The sequence below is a fragment of the Homo sapiens genome, chromosome 9 (assembly GCF_000001405.40).
Source record: "Homo sapiens chromosome 9, GRCh38.p14 Primary Assembly".
Taxonomy (NCBI): Eukaryota; Metazoa; Chordata; class Mammalia; order Primates; family Hominidae; genus Homo; species Homo sapiens.
Window position 1 is genome coordinate 82764294 of NC_000009.12, and position 18650 is coordinate 82782943.

The 18650-nt window shown below is 39.7% G+C and overlaps 2 long non-coding RNA genes across 2 annotated transcripts in view, besides 2 other annotated features; one reads left to right on the forward strand and one right to left on the reverse strand.

Annotated features, from left to right (window-relative positions):
* The window catches only part of LOC107987087 (uncharacterized), a 288244-nt gene extending 272342 nt beyond the window's left edge, over nt 1–15902 (forward strand). Inside the window, exon 3 of the long non-coding RNA XR_001746782.2 lies at nt 15586–15902. This is a non-coding gene — a long non-coding RNA (uncharacterized LOC107987087). The remainder of the gene's footprint in view (nt 1–15585) is intronic.
* The window catches only part of LOC124902188 (uncharacterized), a 44835-nt gene extending 26746 nt beyond the window's left edge, over nt 1–18089 (reverse strand). The window contains exon 1 of the long non-coding RNA XR_007061608.1: nt 18033–18089. This is a non-coding gene — a long non-coding RNA (uncharacterized LOC124902188). The remainder of the gene's footprint in view (nt 1–18032) is intronic.
* Nucleotides 10200–10810: an enhancer, noted in NCBI's record as "H3K27ac-H3K4me1 hESC enhancer chr9:85389408-85390018 (GRCh37/hg19 assembly coordinates)". NCBI's record gives its function as "activates a minimal SCP1, AML or CMV promoter by ChIP-STARR-seq in naive H9 embryonic stem cells {active_cell/tissue: H9 hESC(naive)}" and the evidence as "EXISTENCE:reporter gene assay evidence [ECO:0000049][PMID:30033119]".
* Nucleotides 15539–15708: an enhancer, noted in NCBI's record as "experimental_108276 CRE fragment used in MPRA reporter constructs". NCBI's record gives its function as "activates a minimal promoter by MPRAs in K562 erythroleukemia cells, with activity observed for the non-introgressed 9:85394832 variant allele {active_cell/tissue: K562}" and the evidence as "EXISTENCE:reporter gene assay evidence [ECO:0000049][PMID:34662402]".
* Nucleotides 18090–18650: the final 561 nt, after the last annotated feature.

Here is an 18650-nt window from a genome sequence, read left to right on the forward strand (position 1 = left end):
TATACTGATAAGATGGAATTAATATCTCAAAGGCAAGAATTTTTTTTTTCCCTGATAGAGTCAGGTGTTTTGCAGTGATGGATGAGGTCAAACAGAATTTGTCAGAATTAACACAGCTGTTTCCGCATGTGGTGTTTGGGTTGCAATTCTCATTTGTGGCTTTTATTGTTCCCTTCTCCACATTTCAGCGCAATGGCAGATGTTTCCTAAGTGTATACCCCTCGTGTTACTTTACATCCCCTTGCAGGATGATACTGGGCCACAGCCTCCCATGGGGTTACAGCTAGAGAATCTTGTATAAAATATTTTTCCTTGATCAACGTAATATATGCATGTAGCAGAAAATCAAATAGAATAGACTGGCTTATAAAATAAAGTGAGAGTCTGTCACCTCCCCACTTTCTACTCTCCAAGGGCAATCATGTTTAACTATTTCTGTGTCTAGTTTTTTTGAGTGTTAGATACGGATCTGAGTGATCTATTTTTAGGACTAATTCTTGATGTATAGGCTTTAGCTATTCTCAGTTTAATGTCTTACTGATTGAAAAGAATACTTTTTAATATCTTCTTCCTCTCTTCTCAATTTTTGATGGCTATATCACTATTTTTTTGCCTCAAATTGTTACTTTTGTAACTAAAAATGAAATCCATAAGCCCTCATTTTGTGTTCCATACATTTTTGAAAATATAGACTGAATTCCCAACTTGTAAAACAAGAATTTAAAACACATCTATCCTTCCATTTCCCTCCCATCTTCCAATCTATTTTAAACATTTAAGTATAGCTCTTGTTTTAACTACATGTTGATTATAAAAATTGACAGGCACTAAATATCTTAGCAGGATTATAACTATATAAATATTGCTCATTGGAAAGTCAAAGACTATGTCATAGTCACATTTCATTGTCTGCGGTTCCCACCACCCTTCCTTCTGTCCTTGAAATCACAGTGTTCCTAGTATCAGTTACTGTCTCTAGTAAAAATTACAGTCCCTGATGAAATCTGTTTTTTCTTTCCCTGTACATGCATTAAAATCATTCCATATTTTGGTTTGGTTTGTATTTGGGCCATGATTGTGTATTTATTTCCTGGAATTTCTTACTTTCTTTTCTTACAGTTGAAAGAGTTATAACCTATCATGGTGTGCCTAATTCATCTGCAGGCTCTTCTGATTCTCCTTTGCTTAATAAACATCTCCATCTTTTGAAGATATTTACTCGCATCCCACTAACCCCACATTCTAATTTGGGCTCGCTGTTTTGTGAGCCTGCTGCTTAGCTGCTGTCTCGGGATTTCATCTTATTGGATTCATAATTTCCACGTTTCCCCCTTTTAGTGATGGACTATATGCTTGAGTAATATCCTCAGAAAAAGTGAATAAGAAGTAAGCTTCCCAAATTTTGTTTGATTTTGGTTTGCTCAAAATATGACTCTGTGTGCGTGTATGTGTTCATGGGTGTGTGTGTGTGTTTCTTAAATTCATCCTTTGTTGTAATTTTTATTTATTTATTTATTTATTTATTTATTTATTTATTTATTTATTTGACAGTTTTGCTCTTGTTGCCCAGGCTGGAGTGCAATGGCGAGATCTTGGCTCACTGCAACCTCCGCCTCCCAGGTTCAAGCGATTCTCCTGCCTCAGCCTCCTGAGGCATGTGCCACCACGCCCAGCTAATTTTGTATTTTTAGTAGAGACATGGTTTCAACATGCTGGCCAGGCTGGTTTCAAACTCCTGATCTCAGGTAATCCACCCATCTCGCCCTCCCAAAGTGTTGGAATTACAGGAGTGAGCCACTGCTCCCGGCATTGGGGTTTCGATCCTGTTATTTATTTCTCTAATAGTTTCCTCCTCTACATTCTCTCTGCTTGCTCTCTCTCTGGACTAATCTTCTATATTTTTTCATTTTTTGTCCTGGTATTTTCTTTCCCTTTCTTTTTGCTCCACATTCTGAAATTTATCAAACCTTTAAATATTGTTATAGCAATCATGTTTTCATATTCTAAGAATATTTGTGTCTTGTCTGTTCATTTCTTAACAATCTGTTCTTGTTTTATAGGTGACGTACCCTTTTGGCTTTCTGATAATCCCAATCACATTTTTTTCAATAACTTTAAAAATTAAAATGTTTCGGGCCCACGCGGTGGCTCACGCCTGTAATCCCAGCACTTTGGGAGGCCGAGGTGGGCAGATCACCAGGTCAGGAGATCAAGACCATCCTGGCTAACATGGTGAAACCCCGTCTCTACTAAAAAATACAAAAAATTAGCCAGGCTTGGTGGCGGGCACCTGTAGTCCCAGCTACTCGGGAGGCTGAGGCAGGAGAATGGCATGAATCCAGGAGGCGGAGCTTGCAGTGAGCCGAGATCATGCCACTGCACTCCAGCCTGGGTGAGAGAGCGAGACTCCGTCTCAAAAAAAAAAAAAAAAAAAAAAAATTAAAATGTTTCAAAATAATTTGGATTCGTCTGCAATAGTAAGAAATGACACACAGAGATCCCGAGGACACTTCATCCAGTTTCCCCCCAAAATATTTGCAAAACTATAGTTTAATATCACAACCAGGACACTGACAATTCACTCATTCTTATTTTCTCAGTTTTAAGTGAACGTGTGCACGTATCTTTAGTGTGCCTTTAGTTCTGTGCAATTTTATCACGTGTGGGTTTGTGTATCCACTACTACAGTCGTGACACTGAATCACCACAAGGATCCCTCATGGTGCCTTTTTACAATCTCCTGCCTTCATCCAAATCTCTTCCATCTCTACCTGACAACCACTAATCTGCTCTCCTTTTTTTACAATTTTGCCATTTTGAAATGTTATATGAACGAAAACTGTTCATTGGTACATTATGTTACATTTTTGGATTTGTTGTTTTTTCCTACTCAGTATACATTTTGTGGGAATTTATTCAAATTGTTATATACATTAATATTTTGTTCCTTTTTATTGTCAAGTGGTATACTATGGTATGTATGTAACAGTGCATTCCTTTTTATTGTTGAGTACTATTCCACAATCTATATGTAGCACAGTTTATTTAACTATTCACCAGCTGAAGAACATCTAGGCTATTTCCCATTTTTATTATTGTGAGTAAAGCTGGTATGAAGATTCATGTACAGGTTTTGTGTGAGCATGTTTATTTCTCGAACAGACACCCAAAAGTGCAATTGCTGGGTCATGTGCTAATTGCATGTTTAGTTCTATAAGAAACTGCCGAACTATTATGAGTGATCTGGTTTCTTCACATCCTCATCAGCATTCTGTGTTGTTACTTTTTTTTTTTATAGATGTGTAGTAATATCTCATTGTACTTTTTTTTTTTTTTTTGATATGGAGTCTCACTCTCTTGCCCAGGCTGGAGTGCAGTGACGCTATCTTGGCTCACTGCAAGCTCCACCTCCTGGGTTCACGCCATTCTCCTGCCTCAGCCTCCCGAGTAGCTGGGACTACAGGCGCCCACCACCACACCCAGCTAATTTTTTTTGTATTTTTAGTAGAGACAGGGTTTCACCGTGTCAGCCGGGATGGTCTCGATCTCCTGACCTGGTGATCCGCCTGCCTCGGCCTCCCAGAGTTTTGGGATTACAGGCGTGAGCCGCTGCACCCAGCCCATTATACTTTTAATTTGCATTTCTGTCATGGCTAAAATGATGCTGAACATCTTTTCCTGTGCATATTTGTCATCTGCATATCCTCTTTGGCAAAATGTCTCTACATGACTTGTGCTCATTTTCTAATTGGATTGTTGGTTTTTTACTGCTGAGTTTGAGAGTTCTTTAGATTTTCTAGATGTTAGTCTTTTATTGGATAGGTGGTTTGCAAATATTTTCTCCCAGTTGGCAGCTTTCCTTTTAGCCTCTTTATAGGGGCTTTAGAGAGCAAAAGTTTAAATACTGATAAAGTCCAAATTATTAATTTTTTTCTTTTTTCCTTTTAATTCATGGTTTTGGTGTCAAGCCTAAGAAATTATTGCTAGCCCTAGGTCTGGAAGATTTTCTCCTATGTTTTTATTTTCTAAAAGTTGTATATGTCTACATTTTACATTTAAATCCACCATCCATTTCGAGTTAATTTTTGTTTAATGTGTGAGGTTTCAGTTGAGGCTTTTTTTTTTTTTTTTTTTTTTTTTTGCCTATGAATGTCCAGTTGCTCCAGTACCAATTGTGGGAAAGACCATACTTCTTTTAGTGCATTGCTTTTGGACCTTTGCCAAAGTCCATTGGACATATTTGTGTGGGCCTATTTCTGGATACTCTATTCTGTCTCACTCATCTATGGGTTTCTCCCTCTGCCAATGTAATACTGTCTTGATTACTGTAGCTATACAGTAAGCCTTAATATGTGATACAGTGACTCCTCCTACTTTATTCTTCTTTGTCAAGGTTGTTTTAATTATTCTACGGCTTGTACCTTTCCATATAAATTTTAGAATAAGCTCATCTATGTCCATAGAAACCCTTGCTTGGATTTTGCTAGGAATTACATTAAACGTATAGATCACTACAGGGCAGAACTGACATCTTTACTATATCTAGTCTACCAATTCATGCACACCACATATATCTCCATTTATCTAGGTCTTCCTTGATTTCTTTTAACAGCATTTTGTAATTGTCAGCATACATACGCCATATATGTTTTGTTAAGTGTATTTCATTTTCTTTGGAGTGACTGTAAATGGTATTGTACTCTCCATTTTGATTCCCGCATGTTCATTGTTAGAATATAGAAATACATTTGGTTTTTTTTTGTTTCTTTTGTATGCTATGACCTTACTGAACTTATTAGTTCTAGGTATTCTTTTGTGGATTCCTTGGAATTTTATACATAGACAATCATGTCATCTGCAAATAGAGACAATTTTACCGCTTCCTTTCCAATCTGTATGTTTTTTACTTCATTTTCTTGATTCATTTCAGTATCTAGAACTGTCAACACTATTTTGAATAAGAGTGGTGGAAATGAACATTCTCACCTTACACATGATCTTGGGGTAAAGCATTTAGTCTCTTGCCATTAAGTCTGTTGCTAGTTGTAGGATTTTGGTAGATGTTATTTTTCTTTTTCTTTTTTTTTTTATTATACTTTAAGTTTTAGGGTAAATGTGCACATTGTGCAGGTTAGTTACATATGTATACATGTGACAAGCTGGTGCGCTGCACCCACTAACTCGTCATCTAGCATTAGGCATATCTCCCGATGCTATCCCTCCCCCCTCCCCCCACCCCACAACAGTCCCCAGATTGTGATATTCCCCTTCCTGTGTCCATGTGATCTCATTGTTCAATTCCCACCTATGAGTGACAATATGCGGTGTTTGGTTTTTTGTTCTTGCGATAGTTTACTGAGAATGATGATTTCCAACTTCATCCATGTCCCTACAAAGGACATGAACTCATCATTTTTTATGGCTGCATAGTATTCCACGGTGTGTATGTGCCACATTTTCTTAATCCAGTCTATCATTGTTGGACATTTTGGTTGGTTCCAAGTCTTTGCTATTGTGAATAATGCCACAATAAACATACGTGTGCATGTGTCTTTATAGCAGCATGATTTAGTCCTTTGGGTATATACCCAGTAATGGGATGGCTGGGTCAAATGGTATTTCCAGTTCTAGATCCCTGAGGAATCGCCACACTGACTTCCACAATGGTTGAACTAGTTTACAGTCCCACCAACAGTGTAAAAGTGTTCCTATTTCTCCACATCCTCTTCAGCACCTGTTGTTTTCTGACTTTTTAATGATTGCCATTCTAACTGGTGTGAGATGGTATCTCATTGTGGTTTTGATTTGCATTTCTCTGATGGCCAGTGATGATGAGCATTTTTTCATGTGTTTTTTGGCTGCATAAATGTCTTCTTTTGAGAAGTGTCTGTTCATGTCCTTTGCCCACTTTTTGATGGGGTTGTTTGTTTTTTTTCTTGTAAATTTGTTTGAGTTCATTGTAGATTCTGGATATTAGCCCTTTGTCAGATGAGTAGGTTGTGAAAATTTTCTCCCATTTTGTAGGTTGCCTGTTCACTCTGATGGTAATTTCTTTTGCTGTGCAGAAGCTCTTTAGTTTAATTAGATCCCATTTGTCAATTTTGTCTTTTGTTGCCATTGCTTTTGGTGTTTTAGACATGAAGTCCTTGCCCATGCCTATGTCCTGAATGGTAATGCCTAGGTTTTCTTCTAGGGTTTTTATGGTTTTAGGTCGAACGTTTAAGTCTTTAATCCATCTTGAATTGATTTTTGTATAAGGTGTAAGGAAGGGATCCAGTTTCAGCTTTCTATATATGGCTAGCCAGTTTTCCCAGCACCATTTATTAAATAGGGAATCCTTTCCCCATTGCTTGTTTTTCTCAGGTTTGTCAAAGATCAGATAGTTGTAGATATGCGGCGTTATTTCTGAGGGCTCTGGTCTGTTCCATTGATCTATATCTCTGTTTTGGTACCAGTACCATGCTATTTTGGTTACTGTAGCCTTGTAGTATAGTTTGAAGTCAGGTAGCGTGACGCCTCCAGCTTTGTTCTTTTGGCTTAGGATTGACTTGGCAATGCAGGCTCTTTTTTGGTTCCATATGAACTTTAAAGTAGTTTTTTCCAATTCTGTGAAGAAAGGCATTGGTAGCTTGATGGGGATGGCATTGAATCTGTAAATTACCTTGGGCAGTATGGCCATTTTCACGATATTGATTCTTCCTACCCATGAGCATGGAATGTTCTTCCATTTGTTTGTATCCTCTTTTATTTCCTTGAGCAGTGGTTTGTAGTTCTCCTTGAAGAGGTCCTTCCCATCCCTTGTAAGTTGGATTCCTAGGTATTTTATTCTCTTTGAAGCAATTGTGAATGGGAGTTCACTCATGATTTGGCTCTCTGTCTGTCATTGGTGTATAAGAATGCTTGTGATTTTTGTACATTGATTTTGTATCCTGAGACTTTGCTGAAGTTGCTTATCAGCTTAAGGAGATTTTGGGCTGAGACAATGGGGTTTTCTAGATATACAATCATGTCATCTGCAAACAGGGACAATTTGACTTCCTCTTTTCCTAATTGAATACCCTTTATTTCCTTCTCCTGCCTAATTGCCCTGGCCAGAACTTCCAACACTATGTTGAATAGGAGTGGTGAGAGAGGGCATCCCTGTCTTGTGCCAGTTTTCAAAGGGAATGCTTCCAGTTTTTGCCCATTCAGTATGATATTGGCTGTGGGTTTGTCATAGATAGCTGTTATTATTTTGAAATACGTCCCATCAATACCTAATTTATTGAGAGTTTTTAGCATGAAGGGTTGTTGAATTTTGTCAAAGGCCTTTTCTGCATCTATTGAGATAATCATGTGGTTTTTGTCTTTGGCTCTGTTTATATGCTGGATTACATTTATTGATTTGCGTATATTGAACAAGCCTTGCATCCCAGGGATGAAGCCCACTTGATCATGATGGATAAGCTTTTTGATGTGCTGCTGGATTTGGTTTGCCAGTATTTTATTGAGAATTTTTGCATCAATGTTCATCAAGGATATTGGTCTAAAATTCTCTTTTTTGGTTGTGTCTCTGCCTGGCTTTGGTATCAGAATGATGCTGGCCTCATAAAATGAGTTAGGGAGGATTCCCTCTTTTTCTATTGATTGGAATAGTTTCAGAAGGAATGGTACCAGTTCCTCCTTGTACCTCTGGTAGAATTCGGCTGTGAATCCATCAGGTCCTGGACTCTTTTTGGTTGGTAAGCTATTGATTATTGCCACAATTTCAGCTCCTGTTATTGGTCTATTCAGAGATTCAACTTCTTCCTGGTTTAGTCTTGGGAGAGTGTATGTGTTGAGGAATTTATCCATTTCTTCTAGATTTTCTAGTTTATTTGCTTAGAGTTGTTTGTAGTATTCTCTGATGGTAGTTTGTATTTCTGTGGGATCGGTGGTGACATCCCCTTTATCATTTTTTATTGCATCTATTTGATTCTTCTCTTTTTTTCTTTATTAGTCTTGCTAGTGGTCTATCAATTTTGTTGATCCTTTCAAAAAACCAGCTCCTGGATTCATTAATTTTTTTCAAGGGTTTTTTGTGTCTCTATTTCCTTCAGTTCTGCTCTGATTTTAGTTATTTCTTGCCTTCTGCTAGCTTTTGAATGTGTTTGCTCTTGCTTTTCTAGTTCTTTTAATTGTGATGTTAGGGTGTCAATTTTGGATCTTTCCTGCTTTCTCTTGTGGGCATTTAGTGCTATAAATTTCCCTCTACACACTGCTTTGAATGTGTCCCAGAGATTCTGGTATGTTGTGTCTTTGTTCTCGTTGGTTTCAAAGAACATCTTTATTTCTGCCTTCATTTCGTTATGTACCCAGTAATCATTCAGGAGCAGGTTGTTCAGTTTCCATGTAGTTGAGCGGTTTTGAGTGAGATTCTTAATCCTGAGTTCTAGTTTGATTGCACTGTGGTCTGAGAGATAGTTTGTTATAATCTCTGTTCTTTTACATTTGCTGAGGAGAGCTTTACTTCCAAGTATGTGGTCAATTTTGGAATGGGTGTGGTGTGCTGAAAAGAATGTATATTCTGTTGATTTGGGGTGGAGAGTTCTGTAGATGTCTATTAGGTCCTCTTGGTGCAGAGCTGAGTTCAATTCCTGGGTATCCTTGTTGACTTTCTGTCTCGTTGATCTGTCTAATGTTGACAGTGGGGTGTTAAAGTCTCCCATTATTAATGTGTGGGAGTCTAAGTCTCTTTGTAGGTCACTCAGGACTTGCTTTATGAATCTGGGTGCTCCTGTATTGGGTGCATATATATTTAGGATAGTTAGCTCTTCTTGTTGAATTGATCCCTTTACCATTATGTAATGGCCTTCTTTGTCTCTTTTGATCTTTGTTGGTTTATCAGAGACTAGGATTGCAACCCCTGCCTTTTTTTGTTTTCCATTTGCTTGGTAGATCTTCCTCCATCCTTTTATTTTGAGCCTATGTGTGTCTCTGCACGTGAGATGGGTTTCCTGAATACAGCACACTGATGGGTCTTGACTCTTTATCCAATTTGCCAGTCTGTGTCTTTTAATTGGAGCATTTAGTCCATTTACATTTAAAGTTAATATTGTTATGTGTGAATCTGATCCTGTCATGATGTTAGCTGGTGATTTTGCTCGTTAGTTGATACAGTTTCTTCCTAGTCTTGATGGTCTTTACATTTTGGCATGATTTTGCAGTGGCTGGTACTGGTTGTTCCTTTCCATGTTTAGTGCTTCCTTCAGGAGCTCTTGTAAGGCAGGCCTGGTGGTGACAAAAATCTCTCAGCATTTGCTTGTCTGTATTTTATTTCTCCTTCACTTATGAAGCTTAGTTTGGCTGGATATGAAATTCTGGGTTGAAAATTCTTGTCTTTAAGAATGTTGAATATTGGCCCCCACTCTCTTCTGGCTTGTAGGGTTTCTGCCGAGAGATCCGCTGTTAGTCTGATGGGCTTCCCTTTGAGGGTAACCCGACCTTTCTCTCTGGCTGCCGTTAACATTTTTTCCTTCATTTCAACTTTGGTGAATCTGACAATTATGTGTCTTGGAGTTGCTCTTCTCGAGGAGTATCTTTGTGGCGTTCTCTGTATTTCCTGAATCTGAACATTGGCCTGCCTTGCTAGATTGGGGAAGTTCTCCTGGATAATATCCTTCAGAGTGTTTTCCAACTTGGTTCCATTCTCCCCATCACTTTCAGGTACACCAATCAGATGTAGATTTGGTCTTTTCACATAGTCCCATATTTCTTGGAGGCTTTGCTCATTTCTTTTTATTCTTTTTTCTCTAAACTTCCCTTCTCGCTTCATTTCATTCATTTCATCTTCCATTGCTGATACCCTTTCTTCCAGTTGATCGCATCAGCTCCTGAGGCTTCTGCATTCTTCACATAGTTCTCGAGCCTTGGTTTTCAGCTCCATCAGCTCCTTTAAGCACTTCTCTGTATTGGTTATCCTAGTTATACATTCTTCTAAATTTTTTTCAAAGTTTTCAACTTCTTTGCCTTTGGTTTGAATGTCCTCCCGTAGCTCAGAGTAATTTGATCGTCTGAAGCCTTCTTCTCTCAGCTCGTCAAAGTCATTCTCCATCCAGCTTTGTTCCGTTGCTGGTGAGGAACTGTGTTCCTCTGGAGGAGGAGAGGTGCTCTGCTTTTTAGAGTTTCCAGTTTTTCTGTTCTGTTTTTTCCCCATCTTTGTGGTTTTATCTACTTTTGGTCTTTGATGATGGTGATGTACAGATGGGTTTTTGGTGTGGATGTCCTTTCTGTTTGTTAGTTTTCCTTCTAACAGACAGGACCCTCAGCTGCAGGTCTGTTGGAGTACCCTGCAGTGTGAGGTGTCAGTGTGCCCCTGCTGGGGGGGTGCCTCCCAGTTAGGCTGCTTGGGGGTTAGGGGTCAGGGACCCACTTGAGGAGGCAGTCTGCCCCTTCTCAGATCTCCAGCTGCGTGCTGGGAGAACCACTGCTCTCTTCAAAGCTGTCAGACAGGGACATTTAAGTCTGCAGAGGTTACTGCTGTCTTTTTGTTTGTCTGTGCCCTGCCCCCAGAGGTGGAGCCTACAGAGGCAGGCAGGCCTCCTTGAGCTGTTGTGGGCTCCACCCAGTTCCAGCTTCCAGGCTGCTTTGTTTACCTAAGCAAGCCTGGGCAATGGTGGGCGCCCCTCCCCCAGCCTCGCTGCCGCCTTGCAGTTTGATCTCAGACTGCTGTGCTAGCAATCAGCAAGACTCCGTGGGCATACGACCCTCCCAGCCAGGTGCCAGATATAATCTCGTGGTTCGCCGTTTTTTAAGCCCGTCGGAAAAGCGCAGTATTCGGGTGGGAGTGACCCGATTTTCCAGGTGCCTGTCCGTCACCCCTTTCTTTGACTCTGAAAGAGAACTCCCTGACCCCTTGCGCTTCCCAAGTGAGGCATTGCCTCGCCCTGCTTCGGCTTGCACACGGTGCACGCACCCACTGACCTGCGCCCACTGTCTGGCACTCCCTAGTGAGATGAACCCGGTACCTCAGATGGAAATGCAGAAATCACCCGTCTTCTGCGTCGCTCAAGCTGGGAGCTGTAGACAGGAGCTGTTCCTATTCGGCCATCTTGGCTCCTCTCGATGTTATTTTTCAAGATGAGGAAATTCCCCTCTGCTCTTACCTTACTGAATTTTTTTTATATCATTACTCTGTGTAGGATTTTGTCTAATAATTTTCTGCCTCAATTGGTATGATCATATGCCTTTTCTTATGTAGCTTATCGATATGGTAGATTACACTGATTAATTTTTGAATGTTGAACAAGCTATGCATACCTTCAATTAAAGGTATTAGAATAAATACAATATTCAATTGAATAAGTTCATGTTGGTCGTGGTGTACAATTCTTATTATATATATTGTTGGATTCAGTTTGTTAAGTTTTTCTCTTCACAGAGAAATTAAGAAGCATCTTCCTTCTTTTTAAAAATGTATTATTATTATTATTATTTAAATAGAGATGAGTTCTTACCATGTTGCCCAGGCTAGTCTCAAACTTCTGCAGTCAAGTAGTCCTCCCACCTTGGCTTCCCAAAGTACTGGGATTACCAAAGTACTGGGATTACAAGTGTGAGCTACTGCTCTCAGCCTTCCTTCTTTTTAAAGCACTAATTAGTAAACTCTTCTACTACTTCATTTATAAACAACATGGCACTTAAAACTTTACCTTTATCTCTGATATTAAGGTCTTCCTTTCCACCCTCACCCATGTGAATCTAGTGCCATGAGCCTGTGTACTGGCTGTGATGGACAGCTAAGTCAATCCAAGCCTCAGCCAAAGGTGGAATGAGACTCAAATGAGGAATGTGATAAAACTTGAGAAGGGCCAGCAGCAAGGTTTTCAAATGCCAAAAACCTCATCTATCAGATAGGCTCACAGGGCAGGCAGGACACAAAGAAACAATGCCATTTTCTTTTTCATATCAAAAGGCTCTCTATAGCCAGGCAAGTACCTACTGTGTAAATCTCAGGAAGGAATCTACTTTGTATAATCGATTGTCAGGTCAAATTCCCTTGAAGCACACCCCACGACAGGGTTTTAAATGCACATGATGAATTGAGGGAGTGTTCTTAAGGAAAAGTCCTGTAAAGTGGACATGAAGCAGATGAAAAAGGGGCAATAACTGAGCACGGATGTGGTCTCACATCCACAAGGGCTCTGGGGCATAAATTGTACAACACAGCCATATTGCCTTATGGCAAGGGCTGACCTTGTGTGTGTACTCTCATGTCACTCAGCCATTGGTTCTGACCTTCTTTGGGATACAGGATGATACTTGAGACCTTGTCAAATAAAATCCATTTCCATAGAGTAGAAGGCCATCTGTGAGTTGTTACAGCTGACCTTCACAGCAGCCTGCTGAAGGACACTGGGTGGGGCACTAAACAATGTCTAACATAGTCCATTCCTTGTACTGCTCAGATCCACTTGTTTCCTGCATTCCATTCTTTCCAGCCAGCATCCATGCACAACTCTACCAGGATTCTGTGTTCACAATTCCTAGGGAAATTTACAATAGGGGGGTTTGTGGGATAAACTACAGGATCTGGTAGTCCTAACAGGCCCTGAATAAACTACTGGGACCCAAGACCCAAAACCATAGTTGGACCCAAGACCATGGTGGATATTATTATTTCCATTCCCTATCACCTATTCTAGGTTTCTCTCTCAGCTCAGGGTTCGGCTGTTCTAGCTCACCTTTTTTGGTGGGATGATCCAGATGCTCATCACTGAGGGGGTCTCAGGCCCTTAAAGGCCATGGTTTCTGCACTTGACCATTTACAGTTAAAAGTGCGCATAGCAGTACCAAGAGATGGCCTAGTAGACTATTTTAATGCCAAACATATTCTTCTCTGCCCCATTATTTAGCAGCATTTCTACTACTTATGCTAATCAGAGACAATAATCCCTGCCTGTGTGGTAACTCTTTTCTGTGCCTCCTAGCACCATGAGCTCACAGTGAACAAGCAGCAGACTTCATTTTAAATTGAGTTAGACTCTGATTGTGTCCTCTGGTAGAAGTGTCTCCCCATCTGGGAACTGGCACAATCAGACTGTAAGTTCTGAGAATGAGAAGCACAAATTCCCCCCAAAAAGGTCTCTTGAAATCATAAAGAGCAGGACAACTTCTACTTCCACTCTTTGGTTCATGAACTCGCATAATCTATCTACTTGGGACTCAGATCCACATAGGAGCCCCCTCCATCTGTGCCTTGATATTCTGAGAGGCAATGGAACGCAAATGCAGTGCTGGGGAAATTGGGAGTGAGTGCCTTGGGCTGGTCCCTGAGATAAGGATCTGAATGTAAGAGGCTTATGTGGGTGGTGATTACAGGAAGCTCTCCTAGAGGAGTGGGGAGATGAAACAGGGAAGAAGAGGAAACTAATACACAGGCATTAATGAACAGGTTCGTGCTGTGGGCAACTTTCAACAAATCCCAATAAGGACCTATGGAGAAAGTGTGGATATACCTTGGAGTTTGCCACCTGAGGGGCCAGTAAACTGGAGTATTTAGTGCCCAATTCCCACCCAAAATTGGTTGAGGGCTATTCTTTAGCATTCCATTTTGCCCCGCATGAAGGTGAGAGAGAGAAAGCCCTCCGGTAGAGTTGTAGAAGTTGGCCGTGAGACACTGTTGGTATATGTGGGAATGGTGAATGCCAAGGGGATATGGTGGACGCACTTACAGCACCTACTGTAGGTAGGTACTCTAAATACAACGAAATTATGTTTCTATCACCCTATGCAACAGGAGCTTGTAAGATATTTTGCTTGAGTTATTTAAGGAGAAAGAAAGTTATATTTCTTATATACTGAATTTTGTGAATGGATATTTATATACCTTACAATTGCATTCATAGTTCACTTCCCATTTTCATTTGGGAAAATCAGTTCAGAATGTTGCTATGTACACCACTAGAGCCATGCAGAGAACTGGCCTGGCGTCGAAGAGCCACAATACAGCTCCCAGTGGGCCTTGTTTTCCTTCTTGGTAAAAAGGCAAATACCTAATTCCAAGTTCAGTTTCTGTAAAAAGCATTAAAGTTCTAGGGTAAGAGGAACTACAAAATGACACCATAAAAGTTGACAGATCTCAGTTTACCGGTAAAGAAGGACAAATGGCACATATCAGAACAGTATTAGCCAAGATCATGTAATTACAGATATCTAATAAATTAATTTAATGATCAATAATTTGAAATGTTAAAAGCACATGTGAGGATCAAATAAAATGGAATAAATTCAAAGAGTGTTTTAGACTTTTAAGGAAATTATGGGCAAATGATTTCTGCAGCAACCATACAGCAAACAAAACAACCCCAGACTTCATAAACACTCTGAACTGAGTATGAAACTCTAAGGCAAACCAGACACAGCATATTCCATGTTTAAGGGCACAATAGTAATTTTAGTTTACTTATTTTAGAGGAATAAGCACAAAGAGCTTCAACAAAGACAATGATATGGTATAGTGGACTGAATATAATACTTAGAAGATCTGGGTTTTTGGTCCTATCTTCACCACTTACATAGCTAGGAAAACTTGAGGAGGTTTCTAAATCACTGAACCTATTTCCTGGAAATAACAATGATACCTTTCTACATACACGTGTTAGTCCATTCTGCCATTGTTATAAAGAAATACCCAAGCCTGGTGCAGTGGGTGGTTCATGCCTGTAATCCCAGCATTTTGGGAGGCAGAGGTGGACAGATCACTAGAGGTCAGGAGTTCAAGATCAGCCTGGCCAACACAGTGAGACCCCCCTCTCTACAAAAAAAATAACAATTAGCTGAACGTGGTGATGGGCACCTGTAGTCTCAGCTACTCGGGAGGCTGAAGCAGGAGAATTGCTTGAGCCTAGGAGATGGAGGTTGCGGAGATTGCACCACTGCACTTCAGCCTGGGCAACAGAGCAAGATTCCATCTCAAAGAAAAAAAGAGGTTTAATCGGCTCATGGGTCTGTAGGCTTTGCAAGAAGTATAGCAGCATCTGGTCCTGGGGGGCCCCAGGAAGTTTACAATCATGGCAGAAGATGAACAGGGATCAGGCACATCACATGGAGAAAGCAAGAGCGAGAGAACAAGGGGGGAGGTGCTACATACTTTTAAAGACCAGATCTCATGAGAACTCACTCATTATCATGAGGATGGTACCAAGTGGGATGGTGCTAGACCATTCATGAGAAACCCACCTCCATAATCCAATCATGTCCCACCAGGCCCCACCTCCAATATTGGGGATTACATTTCAATACGAGATTTGGGCTGGGACACACATCCAAACTGTATCAATGCATTATTACAAAGTTATATAAACTGAGATAATATATGTAATAGTACTTCGTAAACCATGTATGTTCAACATGATTAAAGCCTCTGTTTATGTTTCAATGATAAAATTGTGGAGACAATTCACCAGAAACAACAAATAAAATTTTATACCATGCAATTAGAAAGAAAGATGGGTTCTAAGTAGTAAAGGTAATCTTGTGTAGACTATTAATAAAAGGAAGTTTTGTCTGAATCACTGTGGTAGAGACTTCCAGTGCTTACATTTATCCTGTCTCTTCTTCTTCTAGACACGTGGGAAGATTACCTTTCTCTGATGTCTTGGGATTGAACTGAGCTATGTGGCTAGTTACAGGCCAATAGGCTGTTAGCAGATGTGACATCTAACACAACTAGGCTGCAGTTTGAAATAAATACCAGTGCACAGCCTCCAGAATTCCTCCCCTGCTAAGGTGACTGAGAAGACCTCAGCTGAGATGGTGGGAAAAAAAAATATTCAAGCAGCTTGGATAACGAAGTTCCTAAATGGAAGAACATTGTCCCAGAGAGTCACTTGAACCCAGAATAGATTTACGTGATCAGACAATAAACCTCTATGACACCCTGAGTTTATTTTGTTTTTTGATTTTGTTACTGCAGCATAACTCAACATACCCTGACTGGTATAGTCATGGAGATTATCATCAGGATCTCCTATGCTCCTGCATATGACACAGCCAGAGTTCTGCAGACATTTAACTTTGGGCATCTAAATATCATAAATGCTGCTAATCAACATGACTTTTTTTGTATTATTCCATTCAATCAATTCACTAACCTGTCTTTAGGCTACGTCTTCACAATGCTAGAAAAATCATTGGTTTAGTCAATTCATCATTAAACAAGAAAAAAAGTTACTTTTCTTCACTCCCTCATGTGCTTTCACAGATGCATTCACAGTCACCACCAAATGTTTCCACTTTCCAAAACTTAAATTATTTATTAAATATGTATGCGGTAAAATGCACCTGGCTAAATTGCAGTGTGGTTTTCCAAGACAAGAAGATGGCAATGACTTTGTCATTATTTATTTATGATCCCATGTTCTTCCAAAAGAATTTGGAACACAAATGATTAATTATTCTCCAATTTCCTTAGCTGGTCTTATTCCACAGGAAACCACATTGCTATGAAACCATCACAAAAATACTGGAGTTAAGTAAAATACATTGGATCAGTCCTTTTATAAATATTATAAAATAATGAATTATATGTCAGTGAAATAAGCATCCAGAAAGATATCTCTACCATTATCACAAAATAGCCACGACTTTGGGCAGATTATTTATAGTCCATGAACATTTCTGTATCTTTATCATTGGGAATGTGTTGGTCATTTCACACATACTATATTGGGAAAGACAGGTAGCACTGGGAAAGGGGAATTTATATAGGGAATAAGAAACCCCAAAGGGCATTAAGCTCATTAGAAAAAAGAAAATAGAGACTTGCAAAATAAAATAAAGAATATATCATTTTTAAATTGCACTGGTGCATCAAAAATCTACATTTGATTTTTAATGTATTACCTTTTTAAAGAACCGACTCAGAAAGAATAACCACCATATGGAGAGAGTTCACCTGGTCGGTTTCTGAAGGGGACACTGTTTCTTGTGTGGCTTTGGATCCCCTCTTTTAAATAAAAAGCACTGTCACTAACTTTTGAGACACAGTTCTGTGGTTTGGAGTTTTGTTTTTGATCCCTGTTCACAGTAAAGACTAAGGGAGTTGTTGTCAAAATGTGGTACCCATACCACCAGCAGCAGCATCACCTGGGAACGTTTTAGAAACATAAACTCAGCCCTATCCAGCCTATTGAATCAGAAACTCGGGGTGGAGCAAGGCACAAGGCCATCTGTTACAACAAGCCCTGCCTGCTGTCCTAACACATGCTAAAGTTTGAGAAATACTAGACAAACACTCTTGCCTTAGAAATCTGCAAAAAAAAAAAAAAAAAAAAAAAAAAAAAAAAAAAAAAAAAAAACCACACACACCTTGATCCATTAAAATGTAAACTTAACATTCAAAGATCGGATATAAACAGAACACTTGTAAGACCTTTCCTAACATTGAAAATCTATATTTTCTGACTCTCTTAGATCGAGATATGATACCCTAAGTTTCAAAATGGAGCCAGTTTTTATATTCAAGTAATAAACTCTTGAAAATATGCAATTTGTATTGAAAGTGCTGGCACAATCTTAAGGATAGCATTGCAAATGGCGATGCTATAATTAAGCTTCGATCTCCTTTGGAAAAAAAGGGAGAGAGAACGTGAAGAAGGAGGTTACTGTTCAATGAACTGCTCTGTCATTTGCCGCGGTGATTCTTAATCGTGTCTCATTACAGCAAGATGATCATTACTCTACTTGTCTGTCTGATTTAGAGACCACTAAAAGTGTCTTGTAACACAGCCGTCTCCCTTGCAACAGTCCTTTGGCTCTCACCCTCATTACTCAGAATCTGTCCAATTATTTGTCATTAAAGTAATAAAAAGGACTGCAGCAGAAAATGTGGGAGGTAACTGTTGGAGGTCTGCCCAGAGAGGAAAAAAAAATACAAACTGTTTTCAAGGCACTGGGAAGGTGACATCGTTAATTAAGTGTTAGGGAATATGCAAATCAGTCCCACTCTCAAGAGACTGTAATAAAACTGAGAAAACATTATTATCAGTGCAAGTAAGAGAAGGCCGCATTACCCCATCTGGAAGACTGTGTCATTTTCTGGTGGTGACTTCAGCAAGGAGGGGAGGGAGCTGGAAAAGAGATAAAGAAGTTGGAGTTTTTCAGGGCCATCGAGTGTGCTCAGGCTGTTAAGAGTTCAGAATTAAGGTGTCAACTTGGAGGGCCAAGGGATTACAACTTTTAATGAGGGATGTTTGTCTAATCTCAGGATTTGCACACCCAATTTCCTCTGCAAAATGACTTACAACTCATCAGTAGGCAGTGTTTTTGTAGGTTAAAGGAAGGGGAGAGGAAGTAAGGGGGAGGCTAGCAGCTGGCGTAGTAGGCATCTTGGGTGTTGTTTTAAAGGCGGTAATGAAGCAAAGCACTTAGAGGGATGTGGACACTTGTTTATTGATTACAAATATCCCAAGCACAAACAGAGACCTCTAGGTCTTTGCTCAAGCTGAAACTTCTGCATGGAATGCTTTTCCCCAGTCCTTCTCCATCTTGTTAACCTAACCAACTCATTTCTCATCTTTTGAAGTTTATAGTGTCAATTCCTCATTAAAAGTATCCCCGATTCCCACCCCAGACAAGTATATCAGAACAAAAACAGTGTGCTTTCTATACAAACTCAACTTCAAAGCAAG